Below are 26,141 nucleotides of genomic sequence, written 5' to 3'. Positions count from 1 at the left end.
ATCTATGATGTGCAGCTAGTATAAAGAAGCCACATATTATATATAGCCATTATATTTTGGATTGCTTACTGTTAGAGACTAGATGAGATAAGCAATTATTTGAGCCATAGGAAAATAACTATAAACTCCATATGGTTTATTTAAAACCATTTGTCTGGAATTCATTCAGTTGAATCCTATGCAGACAAAGAGTGTCCTAAATAAATAATAATTTACGTGCCATATCTCTCAATCATGGATGCTGATAATGGTGTGGCCATTAAGAGAAAGTAAATATGTTTTTAATATAAAATTCACATCTTGCTTTTGTTTACATGCCCATTATTTCTATTTAAGTGCTTTTACATAGTAAGAATTGTAATGTACTCTTTAAATAATTGAGTGTTCATCAAGTTTTTCTATACTGATGTCTGTAATATAGAAGCATTTAATGTCAATTTTATAATATTAATTATGAACAAAGCTACCAGATTGGTTACTAAACATTTGTATTGCAATTATCTTGCATGGATGGATATATTGTAATTAGTTAAACATTTACTGTCAGAAGTTAATTGTGTTTATCTGTGAAATACAGACCCAAAACCTTATTTGAATATATGATAGCTTGAAAATGGTTTTAGTTACATTGGACAGATGCACTATTAAATGTCTGTGAGAGATGATTCCTTGGCATATAATTATACCTGCATGTATCAGAAGTCTTAACTTTAAACTTTAGACAAATCAAGGCATGGTGAAGATACTACTAGGGTGAGTGTTATGTAAAAAAAAGAAAAAGCCAACAAAACAAAAACAATAAAAACTAAAATCCTCAGGATTAATAGAATTGAAACAAAGGGGTAGAGATGTTTGAGATTGGGATGAGTCACACTGAGTCCAGAAATATCTGTCAGTCACATCATCCTTCGGCCAATTTACTTTAAATTTATACCTGAGACTTAAGAGAAAACGATTGAAAGTATTTTTAGAAATATTTTAGGTAAATTGAATACCTATTTATTAACATTGGTTCCAAAAGTCTTGGCAGGATTAGTGGATAATTATGGCCAATATATGTGACCTTCACACAGATGGACACACAGATTACTCACCCACTGTGAAGCATTAGCAACCCATCTGAGTTTCAAAAATATCATCAATTTTGGAGGGCATAAATAGAAAATGTAATTTATTTGATTGACAAAGTCTTATGATATATGTTATTATTACTGTTTGTTTGGTATGAGCTCTTGCTCTAACACTCAGGCTGGAGCGCAGTGGGGCAATCATAGCTCGTTGCAACATGAAACTCCTGGGGTCAAGCTATCTTTCCACGTCAGCCTCCTGAATAGCTGAGAGTTTAGGTGCTCACCATCATACCCAGCTAATTTTTTTTTTCAATAGAGATGAACTCTTACTATGTTGCTCAGGCTGGCCTCCCAGCTGGCCTCAAGCAATTCTCTCTCCTCAGCCTCACAGAATTGTTGTTTTTTCTTTTTTAACAGGAGAAACAATAGGAGCTATCTTTTAAAAAGACTGAGTAAGAAGAGCTAGATCCACAAAGAAAGCATAGTTTATCTAACAGATCAAAATGTAAGTGAGGACCCCCCCCCAAATCAATTTAAAATAAAGCTGGTTTACATGAATGGGGAATGGGATTGCAGGTAACACCAGAGATACTATTCTGTGACTGTAGTAGGACAATTTTTAAGCCTAGGCTAATGTGAATTTGGGGGTGCTAATTTCTATTTAGTGTAGAAATTATTTGTAAAGTTGGATCCAGAAAGATGAGTAAAAGTTTTACAGAAATAGCTAAGAAATCACAAAAATGTTTGTGTATGTATGTGAGTGTGTGTGTGTGTGTGAATTTAATGATCTATGGATATTATTACATTCCTATTCATAGAAAATGTTCACATTTACCTTTTGCAAATTCTTTTAGAAGGTTTAAGTCTATTTCACTAAACAGGAATGAAATATGAAATTGTATTAAGTTTATATGTACATATTCAATCTCAGTTTTGAAGTGCAATTATCTACAATTTGCTTGATGAGGTCATAAGAATGAAAATACATATTCACTCTCACTTAATACCATGAAGGATAGGCTTCTTTGTGGAATCCAGGTTATTCTTATGGAACAAGCTGAGAATTTCTGGATGAGTTGCCAGAAATGCTGGATATCTTCTGTTTTTATCCAGATTAGTCCAATAAAACAAAAACAACAAAAAAGTGCACACATGTATCCTCAATTTCACAGAGTATAACTTAATCCTGAGATAAGATAAAAATAAATGTAATGTATGCATAAGAGTTCTGACCAACCACTTGAAAATATTAGCAGATTTAATCAAATAATTTCTTCTCTCCTTTTTCTTTCAGTTTCATTTATTTTTTCTAAAAATCTTCAGATAGAAACAAATACCCTTTAGGGTTTCCTATAGAGAAAATTACATGTAAGATTGAGTTATGCTCATTCTGATATATTTGCTTATCTTAGTAGTAGGATTCAATCTTTCTTCTTGGTTCATTTCATTTCTCAATGATCTCTCCCAAGAATTTTAGCATATACTGAATATGAAATGTTTAAGGGAAACAGACTCCTATTAGCTTATTGTACGTAGCTTACATTTTTGCTTTGCATGTAGCTCTTGTATATATCTTCTCCTTTACGTATCTTATCTTTTTCAGAAATAGTTTTAAATAGAATAAAACATTAAAAACTACCTACATGAAGAAGATTGAGCCAAATTCATATTACCCAATGGAGATATGAACAATTTTCAGGAATATATTATATCATTGTTTGTTTGTTTTAAGAAAATATTGTCTTATTGACAAAAAGAGTCAAGCCCTGTGAAATATTTGAAGAGATTTATTCTAAGCCAAATATGAGTGACCAATGGTCCATGACACAGCCCTCAGGAGGTCCTGAGAACATGTGCTCAAGATGGTTGGGGCGCAGCTTGGCTTTTTACATTTTAGAGAGGCATGACACATCAATCAAATACATTTAAGAAATACATTGGTTTGGTCCAGAAAGGGGGACAACTCAAAGTAGGGGCTTTCAGGCTATAGGTAAGTTTGAACATTTTCTGATTGACAATTTGTTGAGTTTGTCTAAGACCTGGGATAGAAAGGGAATATTCAGGTTAAGACAAAAATTGTGGAGACCAACGTTCTTTTGAAGTCTTATAGTGGTTGCCCTTAGAGACAATAGATGACAAATGTTTCCTATTCAGATCTTAGTTAATCTCTTTAGGATTGTGAGGGTCTGGAAGGAAAAGATCTAGCCATGCTAATATTCTCTACAGATGCAAATTTCCCCCACAAAACAAAACAAAACAAACACACACAAAAACAGCCTTGCACGGCTATTTTGAAATATGGCAAAGAAACATGCTTTGGGGTAAAATATTTTGACTTTATTCCTTGTCTCGTAATGTTATGCCAGAGTCAGGTTGGAAAATAAGTCATGATTCATAGGGTTAAATAAAATCCATCTGATGAGAATTTATGATTTGTGGGGCGTGACTCCTCAGACCACTAAGATAGGAATTTTGGCAAGATAAAAATTTCAGAGTTTAGTCCTCAGTCTTATTTTCTGTAATTTTTCCAGGCAATTAATAATCTTCATTTTTTATCGGTTTTGTACTCCAAAATGTTTAAAGAGGATATTTGAAATGGTAAAAATACATTAAACTTTTTTTCAAAATGACAATTTAAGTCAGATAACAAGTATAAGAACATGCTGACACTGTCTTTGCAAAAATTATAACTGAGAAAATTATTACAGTGAAAGAGATCTGACCTAACCAACTCCATCTAACTTCTAACCTCCAAGCTGTCCTTGCTTATTCCTGGGCATATGCCCAACTAACTTTGGGAGGAACTTAGTTTATAGTTTAACTTTGAAACAAAGGTGATAACAGTCCTTTCTCAAAAGAAGCCCCCTTCCTGCCTGGGTACTAGACTGCCTTTTGTAGGACTATCAAATTAGCCACAGGATTAGCAATTTTGGAGTTATGCAACTGGAGGCAACAAAATTCTGACCTTCTCCAAATTGTTCCTGATAATAACATCACTATTGTAAGACCTAAGGTCAGTGCTTTAGATACTTTCCAGACCCTGAACTTAATGGATCAGCTGGAACCACCCAGGCCAATAAACTAGCTCATCTGGTCTTGTGGCCCTGACCCAGGAACTGACTCAGTGCCAGAGGACAGTTTCGACTCCCTATGATGTTATCTCCCACCCAACCAATTAGCATTCCTGACTCACTGGTGCCCTACCCACCAAATTATCCTTGAAAACCCCAATTCATGAATCTTCTGTGAGACTGATTTGAGTAATAATAAAACTCTGATCCCCATACAACTGGCTCTGCATGAATTACTCTTTCTTTATTGCAGTTCTCCAGGTCATGATGGGCTCTGTCTGGGCAGTGGGTAAGAAGAACCCATTGGATGACTGACAATACATAAAAAAGTTTGCAAACATTTGTGTAACCCAATTAAATAAGTTAGTCAGGTTTTATTAAGTAGATCAGAGAAAAGCTTTTATGTGAAAATGTTTAGAGCATTTTTTATTGTGTTGGGGCTCAGAAAACAATACCTTAAAATATGGCACTTTGACTTGCTGAACTAAAGAAGCAGGCTGGAGGTCTCTCTTCCCTCCCTCTCCTGCCTCTCAGTCCCCTGTCTCTCCCCAGGAAAGAAATTAGGCTGTTCTCTGAAGTTTACTTATTTACGTCGAAACCAGACACACCAAAGAAGAATACAATTGCCTTCAATCCCCTCCCTGAAATGTCATTAACAAGAGAAGATTAAAACTCAGATCACAGAGGAAGAAACTGAAAATTAAACACAACACCCAAAACTCAAATGAACTCTGTTCTCTGGTCCCATTGAATTCCCCAAGAAAATTATTTATCAACTACCCTCTGAGGATTAGACTCATTTATTCCCCCTAAAAATTATTTACATTTCAAAATGGACATCTCCTCTTCCCCTATTAAGAGGAGTATACATACATCTCGACCTCATTAGCTTATTGGGTAATTATCCTCCTGTGATTCCTCCATGCTTATGTACATTAAATACATTTGTATGCCTTTTCCTCCTATTGATCTGCCTATTGTCAGTTTATTTTCAGGAAACCTTTACAGGGCAAAGAGAAAGCTTTCTTTTGATCTTTAGAATTGTTATATAGCCTTTTTTTTTTTTAAATGCTCTGCAGATAGATTTAGTTCTTCGCATTTCTGGAAGGACTTTACTAAAGCCAAGTCTACATAACTTTATGAAAAAATATATACTTGCAAATTAATATTACAGTGGGTCAACCAATAAATGAACAAGCCAGGGAGAGTAGGAATATTGAGTGATGATGGGAATGCCAATACTACCTTTGATTTGGGGAGAGAACTAGAGATAGGGGCAAACAATAGTCTTCTAATTTATATGTTCATATCATAGAAAAAAAAATTGTATCAGAATTGAAATGCAATTGATTCTAGCTAACTAAAACAATTTATGCCCAGTTTATTAATAAATATATATTTTAAGTTATTCACTTAAGAAATTAGACATTTTGTTACATAGACAAAAATTATTTGTAATTATTCTAGTTTCATATATATGAACTGATAATTATAATTATATATATACATATATATATATATATGTTTTTCCCATAAGAACTGTTTCTTATCTTTAAAGGATTAAGAAGAAGAATGTTCCATATAACATAATATTGCTTTGGGTTCAAAATAGGAGCTTCTTGTATGTATATGTGTATGTGACTGTGTGTGCAGAAACAGTAAATATGACTGACAAGTACTATTTATTTTCTCAAGCTTAGATGTATTCTAAAACAATATTTTTTTCTAAATGGCAAGAAGTTATCACATATTGTGGATTTGAATCTCAAGTATTTTGAAGAAAATAATTTTAGGTATAAATATTCAAATGTTTGTTTAACTTCAAGTCCAATTTAACATTTCTTTTTGCCTTCATGTGCATGATATCTGGCACCAGACTTACAAAATCTAGGTAAAGTCTTGATAGTATGCAAAATTAAATAACAAGTTCCATATGAAAACTCATAAAACAATTCCAAACAACCTAGTGACTATTTTTTAGCCTTAAAATGTATCAGAAAAATAAGCTATTTAGACTGGGCATCTTCTGTATCTTTAAGTGGATTTATTGACTTTTTAACCTGGGTGAAGGAAAAGATACTGACAAATATCTCAGAGTTGTTCTACTGTTTAAATAACCAAGGACTTCAAATGTAAAATGAAATTAGTTTTAATAATATCTCTGGTTTATAAAAATTATTTTATTTCTGCCAATTTTTTGAAGAAAAATGCTACTTAGAGAATACTGAGGCTACTATGTTGGAAATTAAATGTGTGGGCTGCCACTTGGAAGGGCCAGTATAAAGGCCACATATCTTTTTGAGTAGGCTGTGCAGCCTACAAAATTGATCTGTTTAGATCCCAAATTTGAATAATCTTGCAGATGACTCAAGCTAACAAAATTCTCAAAAGTTTATGTATAAAATCAGAATACTAATTGATGTTTTGTTTTTTCCCCCAGTAAGAACTACAAAAGCCAAAGCAGCTTGATTTTTCTATCAACTGGCAAACATGATCTTTCTCACTGTGAGTGAACTCAATGGAATTTGAAGCTTTCTTGTTGATAAATTATAAACTATAGGCTGATTTACATGGTTTAGATCAGTGGTTCTCAAACCAGTACCTGAAGGGTTGAGAGGAAATCCAGTTCTCAGGCTCTGCTAATCTAGATGGATCAGAATGAATCAGCAACTGAATCAGAACTAAATGGTAATTCAGTGGTTACGTTGCCAGAACCTGTGCTGTAACAAGCACTCTAAATTATTCTCATACATGCTTAAGTTTTAGAACCACAGTTTTAGATGGTTCAGACCTCCGGATCAGTATAGGTCTAAGAATTCATCTTCTTGAATGTGGAATAAATAACGAAGGGATAAATTATTACATATCCCTGGCCTCATATGTCTTTGATTAGCACTTTAGCTGTTTAAGTACTGGCAAGAGCAGCCTTTAGGTTTTGTTATTAATTAGCTGTGTTAATAGGTTCACTCTACTTGCACTGAAGATGAGTTACTATGATGTCTTTTGTACAGTTTTAGGTGATAGAATATCTCTGGTTATGTCCATTATGTGTTGATTTAGAGCTGTCTTCCCTATGTCCAATGGCTAATATGAGCATGTTATCAGGGACCTCGTTATTACAACTTTATTTTTTTGTCTCTCTGTTTCTGTCTCTATTTTTCTCCCTTTCTCACATTTTACAGTTTTGGGCTGTTAAGAAATAATCTGGAGATCTATAGTTAATGCACTTTATTGCATTAAAATATATTAATAGACAAGATATTCATAATGTTTAATCAAAAGAACTTTGACTAGGCCAAAGCATACAAAGCCACTCTGTCACTATCTCAGAGTCTTACAATATAGAACATAGAAGAACTTTAAAAACAAATTTTGAGTAACTACAACCGGCAGGCTTGACCAAAAATACATCACGAGTGTGGCTTCTGGAAAAATGAACTTTTAATTCAAACTGGTATCTGTGAGAATGCTGTCAGTGGCATAAACGTAGGTCAGCCCTTTGTGACTAATACAAATAAATATAAAAAGACAAAAGCAACTTCAAAAGGAGTTGTCAGTACTCCATTCCCAAGAGATTATAGACTTTTAGCTCTTCTTGTGTAGACACTTCTGTTGAGTTTCATCCTCACAGGGTAAACCATGCAATTTACCCCCTTTTTGACCCATAAGTAACTAGATAAATTAACATTTCATATGCAGTCACTCTATATAATCACATTTATAATTTAATCATTTAAAAGTTTGATGTATTTTTGTATATCATAATTTTAATCTTTGCATATGTGTTGCATCAACTGTTTATGGCCAAAATGTTTAAAACTATTTTAAAGTGTTCCCCATTTCTCATAATATTAATAAAACCTATTCTTATCATAGATAAAACGTCTGCATTGTTTATGGAAGTTCAACATTCATCAAATGTGTTTTACTAATTCATTAAGTTTTTGATATGCAAATTTTAAAAGACATAGTTTGACAGTCTGATTTTATAACCTTGACAGCACTTGTTTTCACAATTCTTAATTTGGTATTTGTATGATATTAGAAGTTTTGAAAAAAATTAAGAATCTATTATTTGAAAATATAACATTTTCATAATAATAAACATCAAATAGGTTTTTCTCTAATAACAAAGACCAGTTACATTTTAACAGTCAGCAAAGTTATTTCTTTGAATATATTTTTGTGGTGAAATTAAATTTGATCTGTTAATTCGTCTATAAACAATGGTTCTGAAACACAACTCACTGTATAACTCATATATGAGGCTGCAGATTCAGGTCTGTGGCTATATTAAAAAAAGACAAAAGGGAGAGAGAGACAGAAAGAAAAGAAAAGTCAATGCAGCATTTTAAAGATTGTCTAGGAAAATAAAGGGTTTATTCTTGCGGGATAATAGTGTGTTTCCAGTTTGAAGAAAAGTAGACTGTACTTTGAACCTATCCTTTGGGATCTTTGTTTGAAATGTTAATTAGAATAACTGGTTTAGCAAGGATTAGGACAAGAGCTAAACACCACTGACAGCAGTATATCCCCCTCTGGGAATCTTTTCTGTTTTAGGGACTGCTGTGGTGTTTAAAGTGGATGGAGCAACAGCATCCTAGCCAGGAAAAATGTTGCAAAATACAGACCATCGTGTTTCTGAATGTACTCAAAATTCAGGTGAACAAGAAATATTTAATTTTTAAAATCATTTATATTTTGAAAATGTAAAAATTTTAAATTTAGATTACGTTAAACTAATTGCTTATCTCCATATACATTGTGAAATGATTACTAAAATCAAACTAATTAATATATCCACTCTCCGTGTGTGTGTATGTGTGTGGTGAGAACACAAGATCTACTCTCTTAGCAACTCCTGATAAATTGTGTATCTTGTGATTTCTTTTATTTATTTACTTATTTTTATTTTTTGGACACAGGGTCTCTCTCTTTCACCCAGACTGGAGTGCAGGGGTTTGATTACGGCTCACTGCAGCTTCCACCTCCTGGGCTCAAACTATCCTCCCACCTCAGCCTCCTGAGTAGCCAGGACAACAGGCACATGCCATCAAGCCCAGTTAATTTTTGTATTTTTTGTATATCTGGGGTGTCTCCATGTTATCCAGGCTGGTCTCAAACTCCTGGGGTCAAGCAGTTCGCTCACCTTGGCCTCCCAAAGTGCTGGGATTATAGGCCTGAGGCACTGTGCCAAACCATTGCAATTCTTTACATAAGCAGTATCTATAGAAACAATATCATCTTAGTTATTGAGATTCAGATATACTATTAAATGAAGTTTTGACTAAATCTGCCTTCTAAGGTTCACCTAAAGGTTTCTCTACACATAGTGAACTGTGACCTAACTGGACAAGCAAACAGACTGTAACCTACTCTTGCAACAAGTAGCCAAGTCTCAGCCAGTCAGATGAGCCATACTTTAACCACTCACAGGTGTCCAACTGTTCAAACAGTATTCAAAGAAGGCAAACACTGAGTGGTAAGAAATCAGGCTGTTTCTATAACTCCCTTCTGTTTTCTGTATGTCACTTTCCATTTTCTGTTCATGAATCTTGTCAATCCATGTGACAAGACAGAATCTCTTTGAACCTATTATGGTTGGGGAGGCTGCGCAATTAGAGAATCATTCTTTGTTCAATTAAACTTCGTTAAATTTAATTTTTCTAAGATTTTTTTCTAACAAACTCTAAAGGCAATTTCAAATATTTAATGTTACATTAATTATTTTAACAATTATTGAGAACTTAATATGGACCATATATTAACAGTATACTCATGGACTCTAACCTCATGGGGTTGATACCAGTAAAGGTATAGATATCATCATAATATGGTGTGATACGTGCTTCAGTGGAAATAAAGAGAATGATGGTATGTATGTATATGGAGGTATTCCTAACACTAGTTGGGAGACATCAGAAAAGCTTTTTCTGAAAGACATGGCATTGTGAGTAAAATATGAAATATGAAATCTGAGTAAGAATTAGGCAAAGAAGGAAAGAAGTGGGGTGGAGAAAAGTCACTGTAAAAAGAAATCAGCTTTTTTGAGTCTATGTCATAAAGAGTATATCATATTTTAGGAACTACAAACAGTTGAATCTGGCTAAAATGTTGAGTTCAGGGATAGAGGAATAGGAAACATAATTTAAATCATAGGGATCTTGTTAAGGAACCCACACTTCATCTAAAAGCCAATGGGAAATTATTCACATATTTTCCATATCAGGGAACATCGTGTTGAAATTTGTGTTTCAGAAAATCAAATTCTGAGTCCACAGAGAGAAGATGAAAATACTGAAGACAGACAGAGCTGTCAATAGACATTTGAAGTAAGCTGGTAGAGAGACAGCAGTGTGGAGAAATAGGTAGACACACTTGGGGACAGAAATAAATGGTCATACATGAGAGACATGTAGTTTAAATCAGTTTAAGTCAGGAGTTTAAATCAAGAAGTCTTGCTAACTCTGTTATAGAGGCTTAAAAGATAATAATCAAGAAAATTTGGGAAATATGATGGACTTATATAGTGTCAAATATGTCGGAAAATATGAATATATTTGCATATATATGAAATACATATTTTATATTACATATATAGTATACATAAATGTATAAATCGTGTTTCACAAACCTTTCTTCCTTAGCTGAAATAACAGGCCACCAATAAAAACATGCAATACCTTACTAGTCCTTTGTTTGTTCATTTATTTTAGGTTTATTGAAGTATTATTTACCAACAGCAATATTTACTCTTTTAAGCTATATAATCCAATAAGTTTTGACAACTACAAGGATAAATTATGGAACAATTTCATCACCTGCAAAAGTTCCTCCACTTCCCTTTGTAGTTAGCATCTCACCCCACCTTTGCCCAATTGTAGCAACTGATCTGATTTCACTTCCTTTAGTTTAACCTTCTCCACACTGTCATATAAATGGAATTATACAGAACGTGGGTGTTGTCTTTTTAATTTTAACTTAGCATACTGCTTTTGAGAGCCATCCATGTGGCTACATATGCACATGTGTCCCTTTTTATTACTGTCTCTTTTTATTATATATTCAATTATATAGATAAACAAATGCTTTATTATCTTAAAATCATTTTATTTTTTATTTTCATTATCTCTTTATTTCTGTATTTCACATTTTGGATTGTATCCTATATGTAAACAATAGATATAAGAAAAGACTTAAGGTTTACTTGTAATGCCAAGATGTCTTGTCAAGTGGAATATCGTAATAGTCTAGAAATCCTGAGGGGAAAAAAAATCTAAATTTGGATAAAATAACCATATATGACTTCGAAAAAGTGTTAATTCAAAGTAGTTTGAGTTTTTTACAATGTACCTTTATTTACTTTTCCCATTTTGAGGGGGAGAAGATCTCCCTTGTTACTAGAAGCCATGTTGGAATTTGTCCCATTAAGTTATCGACGGAATACTTTTCATCCAGGGACCTCAACTACCAAAGGGGAATTAGAGTGTTAAAGAGAGTAGATTGGAAGGGGTGTAGAAGAAAGAAAGAATTGAGCATTACAGGTGATTTTATGTAGTGGGCTTTTAAGTGTGCTATTCCCCAAAATAGGAAAATAGAAAGAAGGATATTTTAGATAGAGATGATTAATACTGTTATGAAAATGCTGTTTTAAATGGCTACTGAAGATTTATTGGAGTTAGGCAGTAAATAGTAATACATAAGAGCCTGAAAGTCAGAAAAAAACTTGGATTTTACATAAATGTCAACTTGGGATAATAATTGAAATACTATTAAATAATTTAACTACATGTAAAGATATTGACAATGAATAAATATTACCAAATAAAATATTAGCAAACCAAATACAGTCCTATCTTAAGAAAGAGATAGCTTTAGGAAAGTGTATAGAAAAGGCATGAAAAAGACACCAGAACTGATCAATGAGGTTTGTCATCTTCCTGGAGTAGGGCTTAGGTGGAGTGAATGAATGAATAAATGAATGGATATTCTGTACAAGCTGATGGCATCCAACTGTCCTACCTGGTTGACAAGCATGACTTAATTATTGACTGAGGTTCTCACACTGAAAGATCCTTGGAATTCTTTAAGCCAATATTCCTGTTAAGATTCTTGGGGATTTGAGACACAGACTAAGCCCATCTGTGTGCAAAGATGGAGCTATGAAGAGTTTGGGTCATTTAAATGTCTCTTAGGCTTTCTATGCTTGCCTGCATTCACTTGATTTCACTGCTCCGTATTGATTCCCTTCATATGAAAACCTTTCATTAGTATACACTGTGCAGTGTGGTAAATCCTTTCAAATATTTAAACTGGGGAAAAAAACACATCTGACTTATTATTTTTACTCATAAATATGGAAAAGAAAGCACTTGCTAGGTCAGTAACTGCATGGCAAATGCAAAGAGCTGTGATGACTTTCCCCAGGATTGGTAATAAATCCAGAAATGCAGTTATGATTGGCTGATGATCAGCTTCAACACCTGACTGAGTTTGTAATTATATATAATATTTCATTATAGACAATCTGGCTTTTGTACTAGCCAATCAGAGGTAAATATATGTTGTGGGAATCACAACCTTTACAAATTTCAAGTGCTTGGTCAGCACTCATCTCTAATAGTCTAAGGAATGTATTACCTACTGATTTTGCTTCCTATCTTTGTAAGGCGAGAGGACAGTTGCAGGGGATTTAAACTTGGGTCTTCTTACAATATTATCTCTCAATTCATGGGTCAGGGAATCAACACAGTTCTTTTCTCAGTGATTAATTATATTAATTCCCAAGTGGAACTGGGAGAGTATCAAGTTTCCACAGCCCCAGTCAACTCACTGTGAGACAACTAGGGAAAAATTTAATTTCTGACCTCCCAAGACTTTACCCAAAGTACCACAATGTTGTTTTAGGTCTCCAGGAATTAAGGTCTTTTTAAAGACAATATTTAACAATCAGCATTACATTTGTATACTATCCTTGCCCTTAGTACATTATGACATAGGGATTTCTTGGAGGCTAGAAAAGAGTCACTTACTCCTTCAGCCCATTGCAGGGCACTTCAACAAAATGAACCAGAAAGGAGGCTCTGGCACTGTGAACTTCATGAAACGACTTGAGGGTAAATTGCCAATATCATGAATTCTTAAGCCACAAAGAGTTTATATTTTGTGAGTGCAAGAACATACTCTTAGGCAACCAATGTAAATTTTTCAAATTCAAAATATTTACTGTTAATGCAATGCTATGAATTAATGGGCAATTCCTAGTAAAATTTTACTGATGTTCCAATAGAATCACATAGAGCTTTAAAAAAATACTGGATCTAATCCAGCAACACATATCACATTCATTTGTCACATGACTTTAATTTTCTTTAAAGAATTGTTCAGCCTTTTTTTTTTTCTTAACATTGTGATCTTTAGAGTAGAGGCCATTTGCACCATATTGGAATGTGGAACATTGTAAAACTTTCCATAGTTTGTGTGTGCCTGATTGCTTTATCATGAACAATCATGCTGTGGTCAGAAATGGAGTGGCTGAATCCATTTATTCCCAGTCTTTTAAGCATTCAGTCTTTAGACTGTATTCCCCGTAGAAAAGCACAGAGATACTTACATAGCAATATCAATGCATGGAGGCAGTCACTGAGTCCAGGTGTCAATTAACCCATCTAAGAGACCCTGCAAACCAGTCCCAGATGATTGAGCCAACATATTAAATTCTTATTCTCAGTCAGGTGCACCATGTCAATACATTCAACATAATCAAGAATTCTATTCTGTCTTCAAATTTAAAATCCACGCTTACCTATACATGCTTCCCAGACTTCTGCCCATAGAGATTGTTACACTTTCTGTCAATAGATCTTGTAACACTTTCAGTGCATAGGCTCTCTCTTCTGGGAATTGCCTTTGTGCTTCATTGTGTGGGAATTGTTGGGCACTGATTTTCATTATATGCCTGGAGTCAATGAGAGATAGCAGAGGTCATCCCTGGAGAGAATTGACACCAATTTGTAAAGAATGCTGGAGGTTCAGTCGTTGAAAAACTTTAATGCAGGGGAATCATGCATTCTTTAGAAAGCTGAATACTATCCTCTTTTATTTCCTTGAGCAGTGGTTTGTAGTTCTCCTTGAAGAGGTCCTTCACATCCCTTGTAAGTTGGATTCCTAGGTATTTTATTCTCTTTGAAGCAATTGTGAATGGGAGTTCACTCATGATTTGGCTCTCTGTTTGTCTGTTGTTGGTGTATAAGAATGCTTGTGATTTTTGTACATTGATTTTGTATCCTGAGACTTTGCTGAAGTTGCTTATCAGCTTAAGGAGATTTTGGGCTGAGACAATGGGGTTTTCTAGATAAACAATCATGTTGCCTGCAAACAGGGACAATTTGACTTCCTCTTTTCCTAATTGAATACCCTTTATTTCCTTCTCCTGCCTGATTGCCCTGGCCAGAACTTCCAACACTATGTTGAATAGGAGCGGTGAGAGAGTGTATCCCTGTCTTGTGCCAGTTTTTAAAGGGAATGCTTCCAGTTTTTGCCCATTCAGTATGATATTGGCTGTGGGTTTGTCATAGATAGCTCTTATTATTTTGAAATACGTCCCATCAATACCTAATTTATTGAGAGTTTTTAGCATGAAGGGTTGTTGAATTATGTCAAAGGCTTTTTCTGCATCTATTGAGATAATCATGTGGTTTTTGTCTTTGGCTCTGTTTATATGCTGGATTACATTTATTGATTTGCGTATATTGAACCAGCCTTGCATCCCAGGGATGAAGCCCACTTGATCATGGTGGATAAGCTTTTTGATGTGCTGCTGGATTTGGTTTGCCAGTATTTTATTGAGGATTTTTGCATCAATGTTCATCAAGGATATTGGTCTAAAATTCTCTTTTTTGGTTGTGTCTCTGCCCGGCTTTGGTATCAGAATGATGCTGGCCTCATAAAATGAGTTAGGGAGGATTCCCTCTTTTTCTATTGATTGGAATAGTTTCAGAAGGAATGGTACCAGTTCCTCCTTGTACCTCTGGTAGAATTCGGCTGTGAGTCCATCTGGTCCTGGACTCTTTTTGGTTGGTAAACTATTGATTATTGCCACAATTTCAGCTCCTGTTACTGGTCTATTCAGAGATTCAACTTCTTCCTGGTTTAGTCTTGGGAGAGTGTATGTGTCGAGGAATGTATCCATTTCTTCTAGATTTTCTAGTTTATTTGCGTAGAGGTGTTTGTAGTATTCTCTGATGGTAGTTTGTATTTCTGTGGGATCAGTGGTGATATCCCCTTTATCATTTTTTATTGTGTCTATTTGATTCTTCTCTCTTTTTTTCTTTATTAGTCTTGCTAGCAGTCTATCAATTTTGTTGATCCTTTCAAAAAACCAGCTCCTGGATTCATTGATTTTTTGAAGGGTTTTTTTGTGTCTCTATTTCCTTCAGTTCTGCTCTGATTTTAGTTATTTCTTGCCTTCTGCTAGCTTTTGAATGTGTTTGCTCTTGGTTTTCTAGTTCTTTTAATTGTGATGTTAGGGTGTCAATTTTGGATCTTTCCTACTTTCTCTTGTGGGCATTTAGTGCTATAAATTTCCCTCTACACACTGCTTTGAATGCATCCCAGAGATTCTGGTATGTTGTGTCTTTGTTCTCGTTGGTTTCAAAGAACATCTTTTTTTCTGCCTTCATTTCGTTATGTACCCAGTAGTCATTCAGGAGCAGGTTGTTCAGTTTCCACGTAGTTGAGCGGCTTTGAGTGAGATTCTTAATCCTGAATTCTAGTTTGATTGCACTGTGGTCTGAGAGATAGTTTGTTATAATTTCTGTTCTTTTACATTTGCTGAGGAGAGCTTTACTTCCAACTATGTGGTCAATTTTGGAATAGGTGTGGTGTGGTGCTGAAAAAGAGGATACAAACAAATGGAAGACCATTCCATGCTCATGGGTAGGAAGAATCAATATCGTGAAAATGGCCATACTGCCCAAGGTAATTTACAGATTCAATGCCATCCCCATCAAGCTACCAATGACTTTCTTCACAGAATTGGAAAAAACTACTTTAAAGTTCATATGGAACCAAAAAAGAGCCTGCATCACCAAGTCAGTCCTAAGCCAAAAGAACAAAGCTGGAGGCATCACACTACCTGACTTCAAACTATTCTACAAGGCTACAGTAACCAAAACAGCATGGTACTGGTACCAAAACAGAGATATAGATCAATGGAACAGAACAGAGCCCTCAGAAATAATGCCGCATACCTACAACTATCTGATCTTTGACAAACCTGAGAAAAACAAGCAATGGGGAAAGGATTCCCTATTTAATAAATGGTGCTGGGAAAACTGGCTAGCCATATGTAGAAAGCTGAAACTGGATCCCTTCCTTACACCTTATACAAAAATCAATTCAAGATGGATTAAAGATTTAAACGTTAGACCTAAAACCATAAAAACCCTAGAAGAAAACCTAGGCATTACCATTCAGGACATAGGCATGGGCAAGGACTTCATGTCCAAAACACCAAAAGCAATGGCAACAAAAGCCAAAATTGACAAATGAGATCTAATTAAACTCAAGAGCTTCTGCACAGCAAAAGAAACTACCATCAGAGTGAACAGGCAACCTACAACATGGGAGAAAATTTTCACAACCTACTCATCTGACAAAGGGCTAATATCCAGAATCTACAATTAACTCAAACAAATTTACAAGAAAAAAACAAACAACCCCATCAAAAAGTGGGCAAAGGACATGAACAGACACTTCTCAAAAGAAGACATTTATGCAGCCAAAAAACACATGAAAAAATGCTCATCATCACTGGCCATCAGAGAAATGCAAATCAAAACCACTATGAGATATCATCTCACACCAGTTAGAATGGCAATCATTAAAAAGTCAGGAAACAACAGGTGCTGGAGAGGATGTGGAGAAATAGGAACACTTTTACACTGTTGGTGGGACTGTAAACTAGTTCCACCATTGTGGAAGTCAGTGTGGTGATTCCTCAGGGATCTAGAACTAGAAATACCATTTGACCCAGCCATCCCATTACTGGGTATATACCCAAATGACTATAAATCATGCTGCTATAAAGACACATGCACACGTATGTTTATTGTGGCATTATTCACAATAGCAAAGACTTGGAACCAACCCAAATGTCCAACAATGATAAACTGGATTAAGAAAATGTGGCACATATACACCATGGAATACTATGCAGCCATAAAAAATGATGAGTTCATGTCCTTTGTAGGGACATGGATGAAATTGGAAATCATCATTCTCAGTAAACTATCGCAAGAACCAAAAACCAAACACCGCATATTCTCACTCATAGGTGGGAATTGAACAATGAGATCACATGGACACATGAAGGGGAATATCACACTCTGGGGACTGTGGTGGGGTGGGGGGAGGGGGGAGGGATAGCATTGGGAGATATACCTAAGGCTAGATGACGAGTTAGTGGGTGCAGCGCACCAGCATGGCACAGGTATACATATGTAACTAACCTGCACAATGTGCACATGTAACCTAAAACTTAAAGTATAATAATAAAAAAAAAGCTGAATACTAATATTTCTCATTCCAGTGAAATACCACCAGTTTCTTCCTTGCCTTGTCTCTTGTGTCACAATTGTTTCTCCCTTTTATTTGGCTTCTAATCTTAGATTTATCTGAATGTTAGAATTCTACCAATATTAGACTGAAGTTATTTGAATTCATACAGCATAATATGAATTGATTCCTAAAAAGAAAATCCAATCACTAAATGTTATAAATCGCATCTGAAATTTTGGATGTGTTGTGTTTGGGAAGAATTTACAATTACCCGTCTTATTATCAATAATTCAATTATTTGAAGAAGTTAAAAGAAAATCATATTTCTTTATACCTATCTAAAATGATTTTTAGAATAACCTAATCAATGGACATTCCTCCTTAAAATGCCAAACTGAGGAATTTATCAATATGTACAATTGCAGTCATTGTCCAATCTATTTCATATGGTATCCTATGGTATTACAAAATCTACTGCTGTTTCTTTAAAGGTAATCTTCAGGTCTTTCATATTATAAGAATGTTGAAAAGCAATGACAATAATAATAACCACATCCATGCAGCGCCAAAAGCAATGTCAATAATAATTGCTACATCCATGCAGCTCCAAAAGATAAAATCAAACTAAATTTTGTCTCTTGGCACAGTGTTTGTTTGCCTTAGCAGAAAGAAACCATGGTTGTAGGTGCTAATTTTAGTAATTTCTATAGTCAGCCTGCTGATGCTGGTATCTATATTAGCTATTTTCTTTGTAAAAAGTTAATCCTTAGTAGTATGATCTTTTTCTTTTTTTTTTTTTTTTTGAGACGGAGTCTCGCTCTGTCGCCCAGGCCGGACTGCGGACTGCAGTGGCGCAATCTCGGCTCACTGCAAGCTCCGCTTCCCGGGTTCACGCCATTCTCCTGCCTCAGCCTCCCGAGTAGCTGGGACTACAGGCGCCCGCCACCGCTCCCGGCTAATTTTTTTGTATTTTTAGTAGAGACGGGGTTTCACCTTGTTAGCCAGGATGGTCTCGATCTCCTGACCTCATGATCCACCCGCCTCGGCCTTCCAAAGTGCTGGGATTACAGGCGTGAGCCACCGCGCCCGGCCAGTAGTATGATCTTTTTCTGCTTATGTAAAAGAATTAAAAGGATGAGAACAATGTACAAATCAAAAAGACACAAACAATTAAACAAAAAGATTTATATATGTCTAATTATTTGGATTTAAAAAATCCACTGAATCTTAGAATAAAATAATGTGTGTTGATACTTTGCAAAGGATTATCTAAAGGTGAATAATTTCTAAATAACATTGGAAAGTTGTTTTTCATTCTGATAAAGTTATAATTTAATAATAAATATAATTATAAGTATCTTGTAAAACATAATTACTTGATGTGATTATTCAATACATTTTACAATAGTAATATGGATAACTAATAAGTAATTAAAAGTCTGGAATTAATTTTTTTCTATAGAAAAATTAACATTACAATTTAGAATTCATGAATTTGAGATATCTTCATTGTTGCAACAGGTAATAGACTTTTAATACATATATTTAATATCTACATTTATAATATTTTCTGTATCATTATGTTTTACAAATATAATTATTAGAAAATATGTACTATATTTTATAGAAAATAAGTAATTTATTTTCTTTTCCTTGGAAATGCAACGGTGTGGTAAAAGTCAGCATGGAATTCATCTGATTAGAGGCTTTTCTTTGTTAGCAGGCTTTTTTTAAATTATTGATTCAATCTTGGAACTTGATATTGGTCTTTACAGGGTTTTAAATTCTTCCTGCTTCAATCTGGCCAGGGTTGTAGTTGTCCAGTAATTAATTCATTTTCTCTAGATTTTCTAGTTTGTGTGCATGGAGGCTTTCATAATAGTCTCTATGGAACTGTTTATTTTTGTAAAATTGTTCATAATGTCATCTTTTTCATTTCTGATTGTTCTTATTTGGATCTTCTCTTTTTTTCTTTGTTAATATAGCTAGCAGTCTATCAATCTTCTTTATCCTTTCAAATTACCAACTTCTGGTTTCATTTATTTTTTGTATTGATTGTGGTGTCTCAATGTTGCTCAATTCTGCTCTTAGTTGTTTCTTTTCTTCTGCTAGCTCTAGGGTTAGTTTTTTCTTGTTTTTCTAGTTCCTTTAAGTGTGACGTTAAACTGCTAATTTGAGATCTTACTAATATCTTGACATAGGTGTTTGGCACTATAAACTTTCCTCTCAACACTGCTTTTGCTGCATCCCAGGGATTTTCATATGCCATGTCTCTGTTTTCACTTATTTAATTTAATTTAATTTAATTTTATTTTATTTTATTTTATTTTTGAGATGGAGTTTCACTCTTGTTGCCCAGGCTGGAGTGCAATGGCACAATCTTGGCTCACCACAACCTCCGCCTCCCAGGTTCAAGCGACTCTCCAGCCTCAGCCTCCCTAGTAGCTGGGATTACAGGCATGTGCCACCACGCTCAGCTAATTTTGTATTTTTAGTAGAGATGGGGTTTCTCCATGTTGGTCAGGCTGGTCTCCAACTCCCGACCTCAGGTGATCCGCCCGCTTCAGCCTCCCAAAATGCTGGGATTACAGGCACGAGCCACTGTGCCTAGCTTGTTTTCACTTATTTTAAATATTTTTTTTAATCTCTGACTTAATTTTGTCATTTACAAAAAATTCTCTCAGGAGAAATTTGCTTAATTTCCAAGTAATGGTGTGCTTTTGAGAGATCTTCATGATATCAATTTCTATTTTTATTACACTATGGTACAAGAGTATGGTTGGCATGATTACTTTTGTTGAATTTATTGAGCCTTACTTTATGTCTGAGCATGTGGATTATTAGACCTAAACCACATACTTAAATGAGATAAATGTATATTCTGTAGTCAATAGTTGTGGTATTCTGCAGATGTCTATATGGTCCAATTGGTCAAATGTTGGATTTAAGTTAAGAAGTTCTTTGTTAGCTTTCTGCCTCAATGATCTGTCTAATGTTGTCAGTAGGGTGTTGAAGTCCCCTACTATTATTGTCTGGCTGTTCAAGTCTTTTCCTAGGTCTAGAAGTACTTATTTAGTGAATTTGGGTGCTCTAATGTTGGTTTTGCATATCTTTAGGATAGTTTGTCTTCTTTTTGCATCAAATCATTGATTAGTATGTATTCTTTTCTTTTTCTTTTTTTATTAGTGTGTTTTGTTTAATGTTTGTTTTATCTGACATAAGAACAAAGATCTTTTCTCTTTTTGTTTTCCATTTGTGTGATAGGTCTTTCTCCAACCTTTTACTTTTATCCTATGGATGTTGCTAGATGTGAAATGGGTCTCTTGTAGGCAAACAGGTCTCTTAAAGAACAGAATAGTCTTGTTTTTTATTCGACTTGCAACTCTTTGCCTTTTAAGAGAAGCATTTAGCCCATTTACATTAAAGGTTAATATTGATATGTGGAGTTATGATCCTGTCAAAGCTTGTTGCTTTGTAGTCTCCATTGTCTAGTTGTTTTATAGGCTCTGTGGGCTGTGTACTTAATTGTGTTTTTGTGATGGCTAGTACAGTTTTTGTTTGTTTGTTTGTTTGTTTCCACATTTAGAACTCCCTTTAGAATCTCTTGTAAGGCTTATCTAAAGGTAAGAAATTCTGTTAGTGATTGCTCATCTGAAAAAGATTTTCTTTCTTGTTTGCTCATAATACTTTGGCAGGATGTGGTTAGTGGTTTTTTCTTCTTCTTTTTTAATATTGTAAATAAACCCCTATCTCTTCTGGATTGAAAAGTTTCTGCTAAGAAATCTGCTTTTAGCTTGATGGGTTCCCTTTGTATGTGATCTGAACTTTTTCTTCTGTAGCTGCCGTTAAGATAATTTTCTTTAGCATTGACCTTAGACAATCTTAGGACTATGTTCCTGGTGATATGTGTTTTGTATAGTATCTCACAGGTGTTCTCTTTATTTCTTCTATCTGGTTTTCTGCCTCCCTAGGAAGATTAGAGAATTTTCTTGAATTATTCTCTCAAATATATTTCCATATTGTTTAATTTTTCTCCTTCTCTCTCAGAAATGCCAATAATTTGTAGGTGTGGTGGCTTTACACAATTCTGTATTCCTGAAAGGCTTTGTCTTTTTTAAAAAATAATTTCTTTTCTTGGGGTCTGTCTGACTGTGCAAGTTGAAAAGACTGATCTTCAAGTTATGAAATTCTTCTGCTTGGTCTAGTCTATTGATAAAACTTTTAGTTGTATTTTGAAATTTCTTAAGTACGTTTTTTATTTCAGCAGCTCTGACTGATTGCTTTTTTAAGATGTTAACCTGTTCTTTATTTCCTGGATTGGTTTAGAAATTTATTTGTGTCAACTTTCAACCTGGTCATGGATCTTACTAAACTTTCTTGCAATCCATGCTTTGGATTGTTTATTTGTCCTTTCTGGGTTTCCATTTTGGTTAGGGATCATTGCTGGAAGGCTAGTGTGATCCATTTGTAATGTCACAACATTCAGATTTTTCATGGTGTCAGAATTCTTGTGCTGGTTTCTTTCCATCTGGAGAGGTTGGCACTTCTAATTTTTATAATCATTTTTGTGCAGATAGATTTTTTTTCTTTGCCAAGAAAAATCTTTTTTCCTTTCTTCGCCCTGCCAGCAAGGGGTGTAACTATAGAGTATGTTAGGTAGTGTCTCTTGGGTTTGCTTCTATAGCCCTCTTCACTTCTGTCAGTAGGTTTTATACTGGACTATGTGTTTCAACCTGCAGGTCAGTAGATTGTGCTCACAAGTGAGAGCCAACTGTGGTGCAAGCAGATGGTGGACAGTAGAGTTCCCAGTGTCCTGAGCTTCCTGCTCTACAGAGATTGGGTAGACACAGCTAGGCAGAGCTGGAGCCCCTGCCTTGCCCACAAGGACCCCTATGGTGAGCACAGGCACAAGCCTTAATGAGGGTGGATGGGAGGAGCTCCTGGTGAAATGCACTGACATCTCTGTAGGAGTCTGGGGGTGCTGTATCAGCTCCTTGTCCTAGATAGGCAGCAACCTGGACTGTTACCTTACCGCATCCCTGTTCTGGGGCTTGCGACTCCTATTTCAGACACACACTGTGGTCTATCTCCAGACCACAATATGGTTGAGAGTCTCAGGAAATGCTTGTTTTACGAATCTCCATGGGAGTGATTTGGGAGCAGAACTTACATCACTCTGCCTGATACAGATAGCTTTCTGGCTTTCCTGTTCTCTGATGTGGTAGCACTGCTGTTTCGTGTAAAACAGGGGGCTCCATTTTAAGCCTATGTGGTTGGGTGTTGGTTGTGGTTGTGCTGGATGGTTGAGTTGGCCTGACCTCAGGCCCTGTGGGAAGTGGTCAGGTACCATCACAGTTAAAATGGGGTAGTTTTCCAGTTCACAGGCTACTAGATGGCACTCTGGAGAGCATGTATGTGTCCTGATAGGGCATGACCAGGTTGGGATAACCCAGGGTTTAGGTGCTGGTTGTGATTGGGAGGGGCAGGCTGCTTCCCAGGTCACTGGCTGAACCCTCAGTAGGTGGCAGGCAGCATGGTTAGGGGATGGGAGCCCAGGAGAAGATCACGGGTCTATACGTGTGTGTTTTTCAGAAGGGCTCTAATGGTGGTGCTCAGGTGGGTGGCTGCAAAGCTTTATTCTTCTCTGCTCTTCCTGGGCCATGTTGCTTCCTTGGTGAATACCAGCATGATTTCTTAGATGATCCAATTGAAGAGCTAGTATTTACTCACCAATTTGTTTACTCTCTGTGAGAGTGGTGTGCACTAGCTGCTTCTAGTCAGCCTTCTTGAACATGCAACCTATGGTTATGATTCCAAACTGAGAGCCATCAAGCTTTGAGATTGGCATAATTTCTAAATACGCACCTTCAACTATTGCTTTTATATAATTATTGCACCAATTTATGAACATTTTAATAAGATTCTATTGTATGTTAACACTTCAGAAATACTACAGAATCTGCTTTATACTTAAGTGGACTAGTAAAGCATTTTAGTGTTTTGAATAGGAAAACCAAAAGTATTGAAAGTTTAGGCTGACTTATATCTCATTTAAATGTTAAGTCAGAAACTACAAGGCATCTGAGCTGTTAGCTTACATGCACAGTTACATATTCATATATATGATACAGACAATTACAGATATAGATTCAGATAAGGAGGTAGATGTATACAATGTAGATGTAGATAGATACTAGCAGAAATGCCAAATCTTTGGGTCAGAGTTAAAACTTTATTTACTCATAGAAATAAAGGAGGACAGAGAATCATGGCAGCATTGATCTTGCTATGCCTGGCACCCTTCAGGCAATACGATGAGAGACACGTGAATGAACAGGTTTTTTTTTTTTGTGTGTGTGTGTGTGTGTAGGAGACGGATGCAGAAATATAAATATCTCTACTTACATTATATTGAAAAGGGACCATTGTACCCCCTTTTCCTCCTGAGAGAGGGAGATAATTTTAGCATCTTCAATGTAAATGATTTCTCTTCTTTGGAAAAGATGGGTAAGATCCTGTGTCCTTTGAAATTTAAATAAATCTCTGCAAAGGAAAGATATATAACTATCTCCAATTTTATAACACAGGGTTTTATCCCTTTTGAAATGTAAACACACAGGACCCTAACTCTGTAAATCCCTCCAGTGACCACCCTTTGTGTTAATCCAGGTCACTACCCGGCAATGCAACCATTTAGTTCTTGGAGGGATGAGAGAAGTCTTATTCTTTGAGTGAAATAGTAAGACAAATGGCTGCAGATCTCATACTCATGGCATGTAAAAAGCAAATATTTCTGGAGAAATTAAAATCAAGCACCCTCTATTTTTGTAACATATTAATTTTTATGTCTTAGGAAGCTAGGACTTTGTAGGAATACTGAGCAATCCAGGGAAGATTTATCTTCTTATATCAAGTACTTTTTAAGGTCTCCTGTAATAACTTTATTTGTATTCATTTGTGAATTCATGAGCGTGTAAAAAACACAAAATGTCTCAAGTTGAACATAAACTCTCATGACTGTGATTATTAAGTTGATAGAATATTTGCTTTGAGAAAGGCTACAGTGTATTTACAGCTGTATTTAGAATACAGCTCTATTTGTTCCAGGTTGATTAGGTTAGTAAGGATGGATGGGCATCATGCTAATTCCTGCATAACTATAATCTACTATGGCAGGTTACTTCTCCCTTTATTTTGAGTTTTGTTTTTAAGAAACAAAATTATATTATATGTTCAGTATTTTTCTATGGAGAGTAAATTCCATTATTCAGGTTGGTGCTATGAATAAGTTATCATTTGTTAGCAAAGAAAGAAGGAGGGAAGGAAGGGAGAAAGGAAGGAAGGAAAGAAGAAAGGAAAGAAGGAAGGAAGGAAGGAAGCCAGGACAAAAAGAAGAGAGGAAGGAAAACTATCTGAAAGCCGACAGCTGGCAACTGGTTGTCAGGAGCTAAGTTATAGTATTCCCAAATAAACATAAACAAGCTTCACAGAATATCAACAGTATTCAGACAAGGCCACTGATAACAGTAATAATCAGACAAGACTGCTTCCTGATAGAACAAAGGACATTCTGTGATTGCTAAAATAAATACCATTTTTCTCTCTCATCTAATATGGATGACTCCTTTTTTTTTTAAACTAATGACACTTCCATTTTATGCTTTTCTTCTTTTATGTAAAATGTGTTAAAATATCAAATTATGAAATATCTGAACTTCCTTAAAGCATCCACTTCAGAACACACCTATTTTTTAAACCTTCTGTCAAATTAACGTGTTCTCCAATTGCCTATTATATATTTGTACAGTTAAATAGTAAATAGTTGTTTATATGCACAAAATGTAATAGACAAAATGGCGGTTACCTTTGATGAGGGTTTGGAAATATACAAAGACTTAAAAGTAGCATAAATGTGGCCTCTAGTGTTCCGGTAACTTCTATAACTTGATTAGAGTAGTGATTGTGTACTTGTGTTCATTTTGTAAAATTAAAATTAAGTGTGCTCTTATTTGTGTACTATATAATAGTTCAGATACTAAAGTGAAACCCTTTCATCTCTGTTTTACCGAGAGGCCATAGGGATTCCATGTTGTGTGTTCTCCCTTGCTTCAGCAAGCTAATAAACTTAACTTTGAACATTACGTACATTTCTGGTGGATTTTGTCTGGTGTGAAGCAGTGAAAATTTCAGATAGCAAAAACAGTAAAATTATAGGATCTGATATGAAAGTGTGCTTAGCATGTTTGAGGAAAAGGGGGATGTCAGTGTAATCGAGGCAGAGCGAGTGATGGAAAAAGCAGTAAGAGATGACATCAGAGAGCTAAGCAGTGACCAAATCAATTCGGGATAGAAGCATGAAATAATAATGACTTTGAAATTTATTCTGAATAAGTTGAGAAACCATTTGAGGATTTTGAATAAAGTTTTGGTATTTGTATCT

The sequence above is a fragment of the Homo sapiens genome, chromosome 3 (genome assembly GCF_000001405.40).
Source record: "Homo sapiens chromosome 3, GRCh38.p14 Primary Assembly".
Taxonomy (NCBI): Eukaryota; Metazoa; Chordata; class Mammalia; order Primates; family Hominidae; genus Homo; species Homo sapiens.
This window is presented reverse-complemented; position numbering follows the sequence as displayed.